We start from the raw sequence: 17,043 nt of genomic DNA, 5'->3' as shown, positions 1-17,043 counted from the left end.
TGTGTCCGTGTGCCCTTCTCGGTCTCCTACAAAGACGCTCTTGTTGCCCATCTAATCCAGTGTGATCTGTGAAGACCCCATTTCCAAATAAGGCCATATTCTGAAGTTCTGGATCAAGAATTTGGGGGGACACCATTCAACCTGGTGCAGAGCTGAGTGGAAGCTCGAGGTTGGCATCTCCCTCATGCAATGCGGGTGCCAGGCTGGCTGCTGTGGAGCTCAGGCGGCTGGTGGCAAGGACGCTGCCCTGTGGCTGGTCAAAGGCCCAGTCCATGGCAGACCACGGGTATTCACAAACCTGAATAGATCTGTCAGATGAAAAAAAAAAAAAAAAAGCTGAATCATTAAAAGTAATTGCCTAAGGGGAAATACTTTCTGAAAATACATTTGGCTTATTTGCAAATATTTTCATGTAACAGCCACAAATAACTGAATTATTTTGCAAATCCAGATGGGTGCTGTCACTCCCCCTCCAAAGTGGCCGCTGTGCCACCTTCCAGGGGGCTCCTCTCCCTCTGGGGGCCCCTCTCTTCCTGGGGGTCTCCCTGCCTCAGAGCAGCTGCAGGAGCTTCAGGGCTGGCCTCAATCCTGTTCATTTTAGGAGCTTTCTTTCTGCCTGCTCCTACCACCCCTAAGGTCTGTCCCCTCCCTACTGTCCTGGGCCAGCCAGAGGCCACCATTGCTGGGAGCCTCCCTGGAGCTGCCCCCTTGCTGCAGAGCTTCCCACAGCTGTCTCAGGCCCTCCAGGTGCCTGCACCTCCCCCAGCCCCCGTGGGAACAGGAATGATACTCCCAGAGAGTCTGTGGGGGCCTGCCCAGGAGGGCCCCTCCTGCCTTTTTAAGCGTAACTCGGGTTATTTTTTCCTTAAGTGCGTGACTTTGCGTTCTCCCACATTGAAGCTCATCTGCCACTGTGCCACCCACACATGCTGCTGCTGGAAGGAACCGCTCCGTGTGGAATTTGCTCCGAGCTCCTGTGGAGCCCACCCCACTCCGCCTGTCTGGCCCATCCCCACCCATTTCTCAAGGCTGCGCTGGGAACAGAAGGCTCCAAGGACTTTCTATGCTCCAGGCGGCCACGCCCCTTGGTGCCTGTCACCTGCTGAAGGTTATGATACCACATTTAACAAGCATTCATGGAAGGTTCTGTGTGAGCCTCTGGGATTCTGCAGTGAACCAGACAACGCTGCCCGCACGCCGAGTGCACACCGACTTCATTGGCATCAGCAGCACCTCATCAAAGCTAATTGTCCTGTGAGCATATCTCAGGGCAGACCCTCTTTGCCAAGGCTGTGGGTTCACTGCCTCCCTTATCCTGAAAACAATCGCTTTATAGGTGGGAAAATGGAGGCTTGGAGAACATGCTTCTGTGATCAAGGATGGAGCTGACAGCAGCTGTTGATTCAGGCGCTCTCCTGGAATCTGAACCCGGCCCTATTCCAGCTGCAAGGCAGGACCCAGGTTCTGTTCCCAGGTGGCATTTGTGGGAGTTTGATAAGCCCAGGTAGTGGGTGAGCAGTGTGAAAACCACGACCTACCTCCAGACCTCTGGGTGCTTACATCTGCCTGCTCACCACCCCTTCGGGGTCCCCCAAGACGCCAGACTCAGACTTTCCCCCAAACCCGACAGCTTTCCCTTCTCTGCTAGTGGCTCCACCCTCCACCCATCCATCCTCAATCTGTCTCACATGCACTACACACACCTGTCCCTAAGACCTTCAACTCAGCGCTGTCTACTAACGAGTCTTTTTCATTTTCTTCATTCAACACCCATCAAACAGGTCGAGGACACGAGGTGCTGGGACTCTAGGTGCTGGGACTCCAGGTGCTGGGACTCTAGGTGCTGGGACTCCAGGTGCTGGGACTCTAGGTGCTGGGACGCCAGGTGCTGGGACTCTAGGTGCTGGGACTCCAGGTGCTGGGACTCTAGGTGCTGGGACTCCAGGTGCTGGGACTCTAGGTGCTGGGACGCCAGGTGCTGGGACTCTAGGTGCTGGGACGCCAGGTGCTGGGACTCTAGGTGCTGGGACGCCAGGTGCTGGGACTCTAGGTGCTGGGACTCCAGGTGCTGGGACTCTAGGTGCTGGGACGCCAGGTGCTGGGACGCCAGGTGCTGGGACGCCAGGTGCCAGTGATATAGGCGTTAAGAAGGAATTGCTTAGGCAGATAGCAAGGGCATGGGAGTCCTTGGTAAGGCTTTTCTTTGTAATGAAAAGCAGCCCCAAATCATTTTCTTTTTTGGGGGGGTTGGGGGGGATTGAGACAGAGTCTCTGTCACCCAGGCTAGCTCAAAGCTAGTGGTTGCTGACTAGTCTAACTTAGAGTAGTCTCTTTTCCCCACAAGCTTCTTTAATTTTGAATTAGGAAAAATGTTGAGCATGTAGTACCGGACATAATATACACAGATGTACCCATCATTGAGATTCAGTTTGCATTGATATCAAAATTAAAATACAAAAAATTTAAGTTATAATAGTTAAAATTTTTCCCCATATTTGATCCACATTTCCCTTTTATTTTTAAAGACGTAAACTTACAGGAGTAGCTAGAGCTTCCCCTTATCCTCCCCTGACCCTGTGGTCACCTCACGCCTGTGGCTGGCCAGGTGTTGGCTGTGGCCATGTTTCTGTGTTTGTGCCATCACTGTGTGCCTGTACGCACGATATTGTATTGTTTTGTATATTTGAAAACTTCAGATAAATGATGTCATATTGTATTTAATCTTTATGCAATATGCTTTTTTGCATTCAACATCACGTTTTTGAGATTCATTCCCGGTGATGCCTATGAATCTGGTTCAGTCACTCTAATCAATACATCGTATCCCACCATGCAGAGAAACTGCAGTTTATTTAGGATCCCGCTTCTGAGGCTCTCCGCCTATTTCCTTTTTCACGATTCTAATCAGCGCTGCAGTGGAAATCCTTTGACCTGCCTTCTGCTCACAGACGGGACTTTTCTCTTTTTTTTGAGATGGAGTCTCGCTCTGTCCCCCAGCCTGGGGTGCAGTGGCGCCATCTCGGCTCACTGCAAGCTCCGCCTCCCGGGTTCACGCCATTCTCCTGCCTCAGCCTCCCGAGTAGCTGGGACTACAGGCGCCCGCCACCGCGCCCGGCTAATTTTTTTGTATTTTTAGTAGAGACGAGGTTTCACCGTGTTAGCCAGGATGGTCTCGATCTCCTGACCTCGTGATCCGTCCGTCTCGGCCTCCCACAGTGCTGGGATGACAGGCGTGAGCCACCGCGCCCGGCCCAGAGATGGGACTTTCTTCAGGTCCCACACCCAGGCGTGTGTCCGAGGGCATGTCTGCCAGGCACTGCAGGGTTGCTGTGCTCCGTGAAGGTCCCAACATACAACATCTGTGAGCCACACCAGCAGCACAGGGAACCCATCTCCTCTGCCTTGCTGAGCACTTGGTGTGATTTTGTCATTTGCTGGTGTGAGGTCAACCTTGCTGACCTCATCTGCGTTTCCACAGTTACTAGTGAGGCGTCTTTACTGATGGCTCAGTGTCTTCCTCTGTGTTCCTGTTCCTTAGCTTTAAAAACTGGTTTTCGGCCCGGCGCGGTGGCTCACACCTGTCATCCCAGCACTTTGGGAGGATGAGGCGGACGGATCACGAGGTCAGGAGATCGAGACCATCCTGGCTAACACAGTGAAACCCCGTCTCTACTAAAAATACAAAAAATTAGCCGGGCGTGGTGGCGGGCACCTGTAGTCCCAGCTACTTGGGAGGCTGAGGCAGGAGAATGGCGTGAACCCGGGAGGCGGAGCTTGGACTGAGCCGAGATCGCACCACTGCACTCCAGAGCAAGATTCCATCTCAAAAAAAAAAAAAAAACAAAAAAAAAACAAAGAAAAAACTGGTTTTCTTTTTATTTTTGATTGACTTTTAGGAGTCCATGTCACATAATTTGGATACCACTCCTCTGGGTTTGCAAATACCTTATCCTGCAATGTAGTTGTCTTTTCATTTGGCAAAAAATAGATCACATTTTTTATTATTCCCTTTAAGGCCACGCTTCCTGTTTCTGGCTTAGAAAATTCTCCCTTATCCTGATGTTTCCTTCTCTTGTAAAAGTTTTACAGTTTTGCTTTCATATTTAGGCCTGTAATCCATCTGGGAATTTATTTTTGTTTATATTGTGAGGCAGAGATCTCATTTTATCATTCTCATTATATGTGTGTGTATCTACATCTATAGATATCCATATATGGGTCTTTTATAACTTTGTCCTTTATTGTATGACTGTATTGGGGTTTTCTAGAGGGACAGAATTAATAGGATAGATGTATATATAAACGGAGTTTATTAAGGAGTCTTACTCACACAATCGTGAGGTTCCACAATAGGCCATCTGCAAGCTGAGGACCAAGGAAGCCAGTCCGAGTCCCAAAGCTGAAGAACTTGGAGTCCCTGTTCGAGGGAGGGTAGCATCCAGCACGGGACACATGGAGGCCAGAAGACTAAACCAGTCGAGCCTTTCCATGTTCTTCTGTCTGCTTTTATTCTGGCCACGCTGGCAGCTGATTAGACGGTGCCCACCCAGATTGAGGGTGGGACTGCCTTTCCCCATCCACCGACTCAAATGTTAATTTCCTTTGGCAACATCCTCACAGACACACCCAGGAACAATACTTTGCTTGCTTGTTTTTTTGAGACTGAGTCTCACTCTATCGCCCAGGCTGAGTGCAGTGGTGCGATCTCAGCTCACTGTGACCTCCGCCTCCCAGGTTCAAGCGATTCTCCTGCTTCAGCCTCCCGATGAGATGGGATTCCAGGCATGCTCCACCACACCCAACCAATTTCTGTATTTTTAGTAGAGACGGGGTTTCACCATGTTGGCCAGGCTGGTCTCGAATGCCTCATCTCAGGTGATCCACCCACCTCAGCCTCCCAAAGTGCTGGGATTACAGGCATGAGCCACCGCACCCGGCCCTTTCTTCTGATTTCTCTGAGGATGTTTATTATAGTTTTTGGAAAGGCGTTCCTTTTTCTTCATTGTCTCAGTTTCTAGGGAGTTCCTTTCTTCTTTTCGTCTCTGCCTGTCTGGTGACCCTTGGGTGTCAGCTCCTGACTGAGAGAAGCCGGGAGAGGAGGCGGGGGCTGTCTGCTTTGGGGGAGCCCTAGCAATAGTCACCGTCTGGAGTTCTCGTCTCTTAAGTAGGGTGTTGACAATCTGTCATCCACACAGAGACACTGCTGAGAGGGAGGGGCTTCCGTCCACGGCTCCAGAACACAGTATGAGCTGTGCCTGTCCTGGGCAACCAGATCAATGCTGTCCCTGGAGGAGCCTCCAATGCCACGCCTGGGGTCCACGTCTCACCACCTGCACCCGGGGCCTCGGCTCCCTTTCCTGATCAGCAAGAGGCCTTTTATTTAATTCCCATGATTGGCTCTGCTGTTGTCCTTGAGCCCAGAATGCCCAGCGCAACCTCTCAGGAGTGGGATCCTTTTCCCTCCTGCTGCGTGGGGAGAGGGCTGTTGTGTGTGGAGGTGGGGAGGGCTCTGGGGGCAACTGCTCCTGCCCTGGCCTTCCCCGTCTCCTGCGTTAACCTCAGCCTTGGAAACGGCTGTCTCCGGCTCCTGCCCTGGACTGCCCCGTCACCTGCATTAACCTCAGCCTTGGAAATGGCTGTCTCCAGAGCATCTTGTCTCACCAGAAACCCAGAAAAGTTTCCAGGACAATGAGGGCCAGGCAAAGGGCACAGAGGCCTCCTCACAGAGTCTAAGGGGCTCTTGCTTCCTTTCCCAGGGCCGGCTGTGCTGCGGGTCAGGAGCAGGATGTGGCCGTGAGGCTGGAGAACTGAAGACGGCTGAATCTCAGCCTTAGCATAGCTCCCAGGGGCAGACCCCAAGAGGGAAGAAGGGGCCTCAGCTTGTCCGAAGCATGGGCGGGTGGGACTCATCCCTCCTTTCTGGAAACACCAGGCCCCTACTCAAAGCCCGTGAGGAGCCCCACTCAGGGCCCATGCCTAGCAAAACTACACTTGCCCTCTTAAGAACGGCCCTTCTGTCTGCCAAGCGCTTAACTAGTGTCCAGTCTCAGCCTGGGCAACCTGGGAAGGGAGAGCCCTGCTCATGGAGGGGATAAGTTACTGCCGGTGGGGCTGAGACATGGCGAACAGAAACCAGCAGGAATGAGGAGACTATGCCTGGGGATGGATCTTGAGAGCGCTCGACCCTGTGTGTAGATGGGATGGAGATGGTGTGTGGATATGTGTGTGGATGTGTGTAGATAGGATGGAGATGGCAGGTGGATATGTGGGTGGGTGTGTGTAGATGGGATGGAGATGGCAGGTGGATATGTGGGTGGATGTGTGTAGATGGGATGGAGATGGTGCATGCACATGTGTGCATGTGTGTAGATGGGATGGAGATGGCGTGTGGATATGTGTGTGGATGTGTGTAGATAGGATGGAGATGGCAGGTGGATATGTGGGTGGGTGTGTGTAGATGGGATGGAGATGGCAGGTGGATATGTGGGTGGATGTGTGTAGATGGGATGGAGATGGCAGGTGGATATGTGGGTGTGCATGTGTGTAGATGGGATGGAGGTGGTGTGTGGATATGTGTGTGCATGTGTGTAGATGGGATGGAGATGGCAGGTGGATATGTGGGTGGATGTGTGTAGATGGGATGGAGGTGGTGTGTGGATATGTGGGTGGATGTGTGTAGATGGGATGGAGATGGTGCATGCACATGTGTGGATGTGTGTAGATGGGATGGAGGTGGTGTGTGGATATGTGGGTGGATGTGTGTAGATGGGATGGAGATGGCAGGTGGATATGTGGGTGGATGTGTGTAGATGGGATGGAGATGGTGTGCATGCATGCGTGTGTATGTGTGTGTGCATGCAAAATATGAGGCAAGATAAGGGAAAGTTTGTCTCTTTGGGGGAATTCACCCATGACTCAGGGTTTCTCAGCCGTGGCAAGGGTTACTGGAGCCATTACTGGGGCAGCTTCTGGAACCCTAGGAAATAGGCAGATCACCTGTACTGCCCAGTGCTACCAGAATTGCCCAGGCAATTTCCAGGGTGCCAGGAAAGGCCTTGAAAGGCTCAGTGAGGCGGGCATGTTAGAATGAGTCTAATATATGAGACCTGGGAACCCACCAGCTAACTCTGCACGTGGGGCCTAGAGGGCACTCCCTTCATGAACACAGGAGGGATGCTCCAGTTGTTGGAGGGCACTGATTTTGCAGGGGTTGCTGTCCTCCATGGGCCAGAACTGGTGATAGGAGATGCTGCCCTAAGACGGGCCTCCCTGCATCACTGAGGTTAGTTTAATTCCAGAATTCTGGCTGAGCAGAGGCCAGGTGGACAACATTGTCATGAAAAGTAGCAAGAATGAAGTGCTCTGTAGGGAATGAAATGAACTGTGTGGCTTGTTCCCACCGCCTACTGAGACAGATGGGTAGTCAACACACAGCCGTTGGCTGTTTCCCTGCTGTTGACGGGGAAAACAGGATGAAGCACGTGCATGGGCCGGCGGTCATGTGCCCCAACTGTGCAACTCCCTGCACTGCACATTAATGCCCAGCTGTAAACATCCACTGTGGAGGAGGCACAGAATCTGCTGGACGGGATGGGTCATTCTGTAAGTGTCAGCTAGCCACCCCAGTGCTCACCCAGTGGGCCCATGAACATGGCAGCCTCGACGGCAAAGAGGCCGTGCTTAAGCCTGATGTGGGCCCCTCTCACCCGTGCTGACGTGGCTCCTGTTGTGGAAGGTCCCATTCGTTAGCAGCAGACACTGAAGCTGGGCCCATATATATAATGTTTAAAGCAAAAATTATAAAACTGTATGGTGGGGTTTATGATGTATGTAGATAAAATATATATGATAATAATAGAAAAAGGGTGAGAGGAGGTTAAACAGAAACATACCATTCCAAGATTCCTTTATTTTACATGAAATAGCACAACATTAAGTGGGTTCTGGTAAATTGCATTAGATGTATAATATAATCTCCACAGCAGACACAAGAAATTAATGCAGAGTTTAGCTAAGAAGAAAATAGCAGAGAGACTTCTGATTTCTTTCCCAACATATAAGGAGCTTGGAAGTCGTCACTCCCATCCTCACAGAATAAAAAGGCTGGGCAGACTGAAAATCAATGTTTCTCCTTAGATCCATCAGAGAATTGAGGTAACGGAGAAAACTGCTCCCCCGCAAATTAGAGACAGATGAATACAGGTATAAATCTAACAAAATAAGTACAAGTCTTATGTGAAAAATAAACAAAAGCATAAAGATTGAAAAGGAAGGAGTGAAACTGTGCCTATTCATAGATGACATGATTGTTTATGTAGAAAATCCTAAAAAATCATCAAAACCATCAGTGAAACTATGAGTTTAGCAAGGTCTCAGGATACAAGGCCAACATACACAAAAATCAATTGCGTTTTTATGTTCTGTCAACAAACTACTGGAAAATAAGAGATAACTGCATTTAAAACACCATCAAAAAATAGCAGAAACAATATCTGTAACAAATTTAACACGAGACTTGCAAATCTTAGGACTGAAAACTATAAAACATTATTGAGATAAATTACCAAAAACCCCACAACTAGATAAATAAATTGTGTTCACAGATTGAAAGACTCCAGATTAAGTGCATTGTTTTCTCCAAGTTTATCTGTAGATTTAATGCAACCCCACTCATAATCCAGCATGTTTTTAAAAATAGAAATGGATAAGTTGATTGTAAAATTTACATGAAAACCCAAAGAACCTAGAAAAGTTGAAACAATCTTGAAAAAGAAGACTACAGCTAGAGGACTTTACTATCTAACTTCAAGACAGTCCAAAGCCACAGTAATCCAAATGGTCTGGTTCTGGCATAAGAAGACACAAAAAGACTCCTGGAACATACCACAGAGTCCAGAAATAGACCCCACACTTTTTCCATCAATTGATTTTTGACAAAGAAGCCAGAATAATTCAATGAGGAAGGAAAAGTGTTTTCAACTGGTAGTGCTGAAATGGATGGCTATCTGCACTACAGTGAGAGGTGGGTGAGGAAAGGAAGAAAGAAAAAAAAGAACCTGAACATCCGTATCACATTATACACAAAAATTATTTTGAGATGCATGGCAAACCTAAATATAAAAGCTAAAACTGTAAAAATTTTAGAAAAAAATCATGGGAATATCTTTGTGACCTGAACAAAGATTTCTTAGATAAGACACAGAAGGCAATAACTACACGAGAAATAACAGATACATTAGCTTTAATTCAAAGGAAAACCTCTGTCATCAACAGACACCATTTTAGAAAGGAATACACAAGCAATAGATTGGGGAGAAACATTCACAAGAAAACCTCTGATGAAGAACTGGTATTCTGAACATATAAAGAACTTTCATTACTCAGCAAGGAAAAGATCAACAAGCCAACTTTTAAAATGGTCAAAAAACTTGAACAGACACGTCACAGAAAAAGATGTGCAAATGGACAATAAGCACACAGAAAAAAGTTCTCAACGTCATTAGTCATCAGAAAAATGCAAATAAAAACCAAGGGATAACATTATGCGCCCATCAGAATGAATAAAATTAAAAAGATGCAATGTTGGCTGTGACGTCAGCACTGAGAACTCCCACAGCCTGCTGTGAATATAGGCTGGCAAACCTGCTTTGGAAAGGCGCTTGGCAGTGCTCTCAGAATCTGGGCATACATTTACTACATGACCTAGCAATCCCAGTCCCAGAGAGTCTTCCAAGAAATGGGAAAACATATGTCCACAACAAGATGTGTATAAGAAAATTCAAAGCGGCTTTATTCCTAACAGCCAAAAAACTGGAGAGAATCCAAATGCCCACCAGCAGCAGAATGAATAAACAAGTCGTGGTGTGTCACACAATGGAGTCTCACTTAGCTCTCGAAAGGAATGGAATTAGCTTCACCTCACATATGGTGAACCCACAGACACTATTCTGAGTGAAAGAAGCTAGAAGAGGAAGAGTACACATTGTCTGCATGAATTCACTTAAGTTCTAGAATGGGCAAAAGTACAGACGGTCCCCAACTTATGATGGCCGACTTAATTTTTCGACTTTATGATGGTGCAAAGGTGACATGCATTCAGTAGTAACTGTACCCATGCGACCATACTTTTTCACTTTCAGTACAGTATTTGACACTTAAAAATTTTTCTTTCCAACTAGTGTCAACACTTTGTTATAAATAGGCTTTGTGTTAATTTTGTCCAACTGTAGGCTAATGTAAGTGTTCTGAGAATGTTTAAGGTAGGCGAGGCTAAGCTACATTTGGTAGGTTAGGTAGGTTAAATGCATTTTCAACTTAGGATATTTTCAACTGACAATGGGTGTATTGGAATATAACCCCACTGTAAGTCATGGAGCATCTGTAATGTAATTGAAACAGTGGTTGCCCTCTCCCTCTCCCTCTCCCTCTCCCTCTCCCTCTCCCCTTTCCATGGTCTCCCCTCTCCCTCTTTCCACGGTCTCCCTCTCATGCCGAGCCGAGGCTGGACTGTGCTGCCGCCATCTCGGCTCACTGCAACCTCCCTGCCTGATTCTCCTGCCTCAGCCTGCCGAGTGCCTGTGATTGCAGGTGCGCGCCGCCACGCCTGACTGGTTTTCGTATTTTTTTGGTGGAGACGGGCTTTCGCTGTGTTGGCCGGGCTGGTCTCCAGCTCCTAACCGCGAGTGATCCGCCAGCCTCGGCCTCCCGAGGTGCCGGGATTGCAGACGGAGTCTCGTTCACTCAGTGCTCAATGGTGCCCAGGCTGGAGTGCAGTGGCGTGATCTCGGCTCGCTGCAGCCTCCACCTCCCAGCCGCCTGCCTTGGCCTCCCAAAGTGCAGAGATTGCAGCCTCTGCCCGGCCGCCACCCCGTCTGGGAAGTGAGGAGCGTCTCTGCCTGGCCGCCCATCGTCTGGGATGTGAGGAGCCCCTCTGCCTGGCTGCCCAGTCTGGAAAGTGAGGAGCGTCTCTGCCCGGCCGCCATCCCATCTAGGAAGTGAGGAGCGTCTCTTCCCGGCCGCCATCCCATCTAGGAAGTGAGGAGCGTCTCTTCCCGGCCGCCATCCCATCTAGGAAGTGAGGAGCGTCTCTGCCCCGCCGCCCATCGTCTGAGATGTGGGGAGCCCCTCTGCCTGGCTGCCCAGTCTGGAAAGTGAGGAGCATCTCTGCCCGGCCGCCATCCCATCTAGGAAGTGAGGAGCGTCTCTTCCCTGCCGCCATCCCATCTAGGAAGTGAGGAGCGTCTCTTCCCGGCCGCCATCCCATCTAGGAAGTGAGGAGCGTCTCTGCCCGGCCGCCCATCGTCTGAGATGTGGGGAGCGCCTCTGCCCCGCCGCCCTGTCTGGGATGTGAGGAGCGTCTCTGCCCGGCTGACACCCCATCCGGGAGGGAGGTGGGGGGGTCAGCCCCCCGCCCGGCCAGCCGCCCCGTCCGGGAGGTGAGGGGCGCCTCTGCCTGGCGCCCCTACTGGGAAGTGAGGAGCCCCTCTGCCCGGCCGCCACCCCGTCTGGGAGGTGTGCCCAGCAGCTCATTGAGAACGGGCCATGATGGCAATGGCGGTTTTGTGGAATAGAAAAGGGGGAAAGGTGGGGAAAAGATTGAGAAATCGGATGGTTGCCGTGTCTGTGTAGAAAGAGGTAGACATGGGAGACTTTTCATTTTGTTCTGTACTAAGAAAAATTCTTCTGCCTTGGGATCCTGTTGATCTGTGACCTTGCCCCCAACCCTGTGCTCTCTGAAACATGTGCTGTGTCCACTCAGGGTTAAATGGATTAAGGGCGGTGCAAGATGTGCTTTGTTAAACAGATGCTTGAAGGCAGCATGCTCCTTAAGAGTCATCACCACTCCCTAATCTCAAGTACCCAGGGACACAAACACTGCGGAAGGCTGCAGGGTCCTCTGCCTAGGGAAGCCAGAGACCTTTGTTCACTTGTTTATCTGCTGACCTTCCCTCTACTATTGTCCTATGACCCTGCCAAATCCCCCTCTGCGAGAAACACCCAAGAATGATCAATTAAAAAAAAAAAAAAGAAAAGAAACAGTGGTTGTCTCTCGGAAAGACCATGATGGAATTTTCTGGAAGAGTGAAACATCCTACATCTGGAGAGAGGTATGAATTACATGGATGTATCCACTTGTTGAAATTGTCTGGGTTTGCTTTTTGCATTTCAATGTATATAAATTTTACCTCAAAAACTAAAAACTGTAAAAGAAATAATTGACTGGGAGGGAGGGAGTCAAAGGTGATACAAGAATGTCCACGTGTCGATTGCTGAAGGTGAGTAGTGGGTGCCAGGGTCTCATCACACTACTCTGTTTACTTTGTATATACTTCAAACATTTCCAAGATATAACTTTTTAAAAAAAGGATAAATACAGGTATACCCTTTAAGAATGTCTCCTGGTTAACGTTTTCCTAGGATAATGCTTCTTTATTTGTAATAGCTAAATTCTTAGGCTATATGCACCTCTCTATGCAACATTTCCCAGGCTTCTTTCTATAGAAAATTTAATTTATATCCTTAAAACTCAATAAATACCAACCTCAACATAACAATACGTGGGAAACATCCCTTGTTGCGTTCCAAATATAATTGTCAACACATCTGAATCTCTGTAGAAGCTGTGGGAGGTGCTGGTGCTGTGGGGATGCCCGGCCCCCGCTGGCAGACACAGAGCAATGATGTCATAGGCATATTAACCGTTTAGTGACCTGGAAGTGATGTTTTAAACACTTTGCACCCTAATGTGATGTCGTATTCCTTCCACGTGGGTATCTCACTGCTCAGTTACCCTTCAGGAAACTGGGAGCCTGCGTAGGATATATAAGCTAAGGCATTATCATAATTTTCCATTGAAGATAATGGGAAATAGATCTCCCACTGACATTTCAGCATGAAACAGTGGATTTTCAGAATGAATTACTGATGCTAAGTGGGAGATGTCCTGTAAATAGAAAAAGATTTAGAAAGTGATAAAAATCTTAAATATTTGGCTCAGGCATGGTAGTTCATGCCTATAATCACAGCACTTTGTGAGGCCAAAGCAGGCGGATCACTTAAGCCCAGCAGTTCGACACCAGCCTGGGCAACATGGTGAAACCTCATCTATAAAAAAAAACAAAAAAACACAAAAATTAGCCAGGTGTGGTGGCATGCACTTGTAGTCCCAGCTGCTTGGGAGACTGGGAGGTGGGAGGATTGCTTGAGACCAGGAGGCTGAGGCTTCAGGGAACCGACATCACACCACTGCACTCCAGCCTGGGTGACACAGCAAAACCTGTCTCAAAAAAAAAAAAATCTTAAATATTTGTAAAGTAAACACTAAATATTTGTAATTAAGAAACAATCTCCTAGAAAACTTTTGGAATGGAAAGAAAATCATGAACTATATAGAGAAAAATGAAAAGGAAATGTAAACTCAAAAAAAAGACAAAGGCAAAAAAACAGAAGGCAGGAAGGAAAGCAGAAAGGAAAGGGGAAGGAGTAAAAAAGAAAGAAAGTACCAGGAAAAGCAAGTTAAGCACAAGGGGAGAAAATCAGTTTGGTTTTAGATCAGGTGCAACCTCAGGTAACACCAAGGCACGGCAATTTCTATCATGTCTTGAGGGAAGAAACTGCTGCACGAGAATCCTACAGCAAACCATGAAGATAGCCGACTGACATGACAGAGACGCAAACATGTAGGAGTCCAACATCCTTGAATGCTTCCTGAAAGAATTACTAGACAATAAAATCCATCCTGCAAATTGTGTTAATAGGAATTTAGCCGGGGAAAAGGACTAGGGGTGAGCAGTGAATCGTTTATTACAGAATCAAAACTGACCAATTGTGTAAATTACAGGACAAAATATACAATTTTACAAATTATAACTCTACAGAAAATTTGGAAAGTGGGTGAATGAAGGAAGAATGTGTGATAACTGTCATCTTTTATAGCAGGGAGTGAATCGATAGAAATTAAAGAAAGAAAGAGTAATTTTCAGAATCAACATTACTCCAGTTTCTTAATTCGTGTTTGTGTGTGTGTGTGTGTGTGTGTGTGTGTGTGTGGCAGGGAAAGCTCTTATTGGCATCTTAAAGATCATTTAGTTGGCCAGGCGTGGTGGCTCACACGTGTAATCCCAGCACTTTGGGAGGCTGAGGTGGGCAGATCATGAGGTCAGGAGTTCAAGACCAGCCTCGCCAATACGGTGAAACCCTGTCTCTATTAAAAACACAAAAATTAGCTGGGCATGGTGACGTGCGCCTGTAGTCCCAGCTACTCAGGAGGCTAAGGCAAAAGAATCACTTGAACCTGGGAGGTGGAGGTTTGCAGTGAGCCGAGATCGCACCACTGGACTCCAGCCTGGGTGAAAGAGCGAGACTCCGTCTCCAAAAAAAAAAAAAAAGATCATTTAGTTATATATTTTGTTATCATTTGCAGAGAAGGGGTTGAGCTGACAGAGTCTTTAATGCAGATATTGTCCCAGAGATTAGATCTTGTAACACCCAGTAGTTTAAGTATATCCTAATGATAATGAAACTGCATTTTGTAATATTTCTTGAATAATAGGAGGAAAAATAAATTCTCAAGTCTTTGATTCTGGTGTTGCAAAGAGAAATAGCCATTTCATTATATGAGGATTCGTGCATTGAATTCTTTCCAAACAAGATTATAATTCATTATATCAGCATGTACCAAATGCGATTTATAGTGACCTTATAATATTTCCTAACTGAATAAGTATCATTTCTTTATCATTAGAATTTTAATAGTCAACTTCCTTTTCTAAACAAACAAATACCTATAATTGGAAATGTGATAAAATTTGAGACTATCTGGGTGCCTTAGATGTAAAGGGCTTTTGGTTGTGATTGGAAAAAAGTGAATGGGCCGGGCGCGATGGCTCACGTCTGTAATTCCAGCACTTTTGGAGGCCGAGGCGGGCAGATGGCCTGAGCCCAGGGGTTCAAGACAAGCCTGGGCAACATGGTGAAACCTTACCTCTACAAAAAAAACCCTAAATATTTAGCTGGGTGTGGTGGTGTGAGCCTGTAATCCCAGCTACTCAGGAGACTGAAGTGAAAGGATCATTTGAGCCCCAGGAGGTCGGAGGCTGCAGTGAGCCAAGACTGCACCACGCACTTTAGCCTGGGCAACAGAGTGAGACTGTCTAAAAAAAAAAAACAGTGAACAGCAGTACATCCTAGAGAAAGTGTGGAGGGGTGTGAAACAGGATACCCGGGTTGAAATCCGGACTCTACCAGTCACTATCTGCGTAACTTTGATGCTCGAAGATATTTAAAAAGTTTCTCATTCTCTAAAAAATAACCTGCAGTTCTACTTTATTCAATGATTATTGTTAAGTTTACATAAGTATCAACATGCCTGATCCAAAGAAATATATCATCTGAATGTCTTCTCCAAGCACTTTTCCTATAATGAGCTTTATAGTTAGTATCAGAAAATTTATCACATCAAAAACCAACTATTCAATTCAATCTGTAATTTTCCACGGAAGACGCTGATTTTCGCAAAGGGGAGAGGAAATAGTTGAATGGGACACCACTGAGTGGTCCGATGAACATTTGAAAACGGGCACCACAACCACTGTGCTGGGGCTCCCAGTGACTCAGTATTTTGTTTCTGTGTATTGCCGTGTTTTTATTTATATGAATGTCTCTTTGTGGTCCTGTGAAAGTTGGAGGGTGATGCTTGGGTGGGGAATCCCCAAACTTGGAAATATGGGAACTGCGTTTACTTAATTATGCTCAATTTTATCATGGGGAGGCAGAGAAAGATGGCAGAACAGATGGCTCTGCCGATCCCCCACCCCCACCCCCACGAGGACACCAATCTAACAACTATCTACACAGAAAAAACACCTTCATGAGAACCAAACATCAGGTGAGCCCTCATAGTACCTGGTCTTAACTCTGTATTGCTGAAAGAGGCACTGAAGAGATAGAGAAAACAGTCCTGAATTGCAGACGCCACCCGTCCCCACCCCCAGCAGGGGTGGCGTGGTGCAGAGTCTGTGGGCACTGGGGGAGGAGAACACAGCAGTTGAGAGACATAGAACTCAGTGCCAGACCAAGCTCAGCTGACACCTGCCCACCGAGGGAGCATTTAAGCCATGCCTAGACAGAGGGGATCGCTGATCACAGTGGTGGGGAACTTGAGTTCCTGCAAACCTTTAGCAACAAGAGCTAAGGTGCTCTAGGTCTGTAAAGAAATTTGAAAGGCAGTCTAGGCCATAAGTACTGCAACTCATAGGTGAGTCTTAGTGCTGAACTGGGCCCACAGATAGTGGACTGAAGGGGCATGCAACTTATGGAGAAACCAGCTGGGGTAGCCAAGGAAGTGCTGGCCTCACCCCTCCCCTAATCCCAGGCTGCAGAGCTCGAAGCTCCAAAAGAGCCTCCTTCCTTCTGCTTGATGAGAGAAGAGGGAAGAGTGGGGAGGACGTTGTCTGGCATCTCGGATACCAGCTCAGCCACAGCAGGACAGGGCACCGGTCAGATTTGTGAGGCCCTGTTCTAGGACCTAGCTCCTGGATGACATTTCTAGACACACCCTGGGTGAGAAGGGAACCCATTTCATTTAAGGGAAAGACCCAGTCCTGGAAGCATTCATCACCTGCTAACTGAAGAGCTCTTGGGCCCTGAATAACCAGCAGCGACACCCAGGTACTACATTGAGGGCCTTGGTGAGCCTCTGAGAATTGCTGGCTTCAGGTGAGACTTGGCACATTCCCACCTGTGCTGCAGGGCGAAGCTCCTTCTGCTTGCGAAAAGTGGAGGGAAAAGCAGAGGACCTTGTCTTGTCCTTTAGGTACCAGCATCACCACAGAGGGGCAGAGCACCAGGTGGGCTCTCGGGGTCCCCAGTTCCAGAACTTGACTCTTGGATGGCATCTCTGGACCTGCCCTGGGCCAGAATGGAGCCCCCTGCCTTGAAGGGTGAGTCCCAGGCCAGGCAGCGTTCACCACAAACTGACTGAAGAGCCCTCAGGCCTTAAGGGAACGTGAGTGGTGGTCCGGCGGTACTCCCCAGGGCCCGTGG

The sequence above is a fragment of the Homo sapiens genome, chromosome 4 (assembly GCF_000001405.40).
Source record: "Homo sapiens chromosome 4, GRCh38.p14 Primary Assembly".
NCBI lineage: Eukaryota > Metazoa > Chordata > Mammalia > Primates > Hominidae > Homo > Homo sapiens.
The sequence above is the reverse complement of the archived record's forward strand: the minus strand, read 5'-3'. Positions refer to the sequence as shown.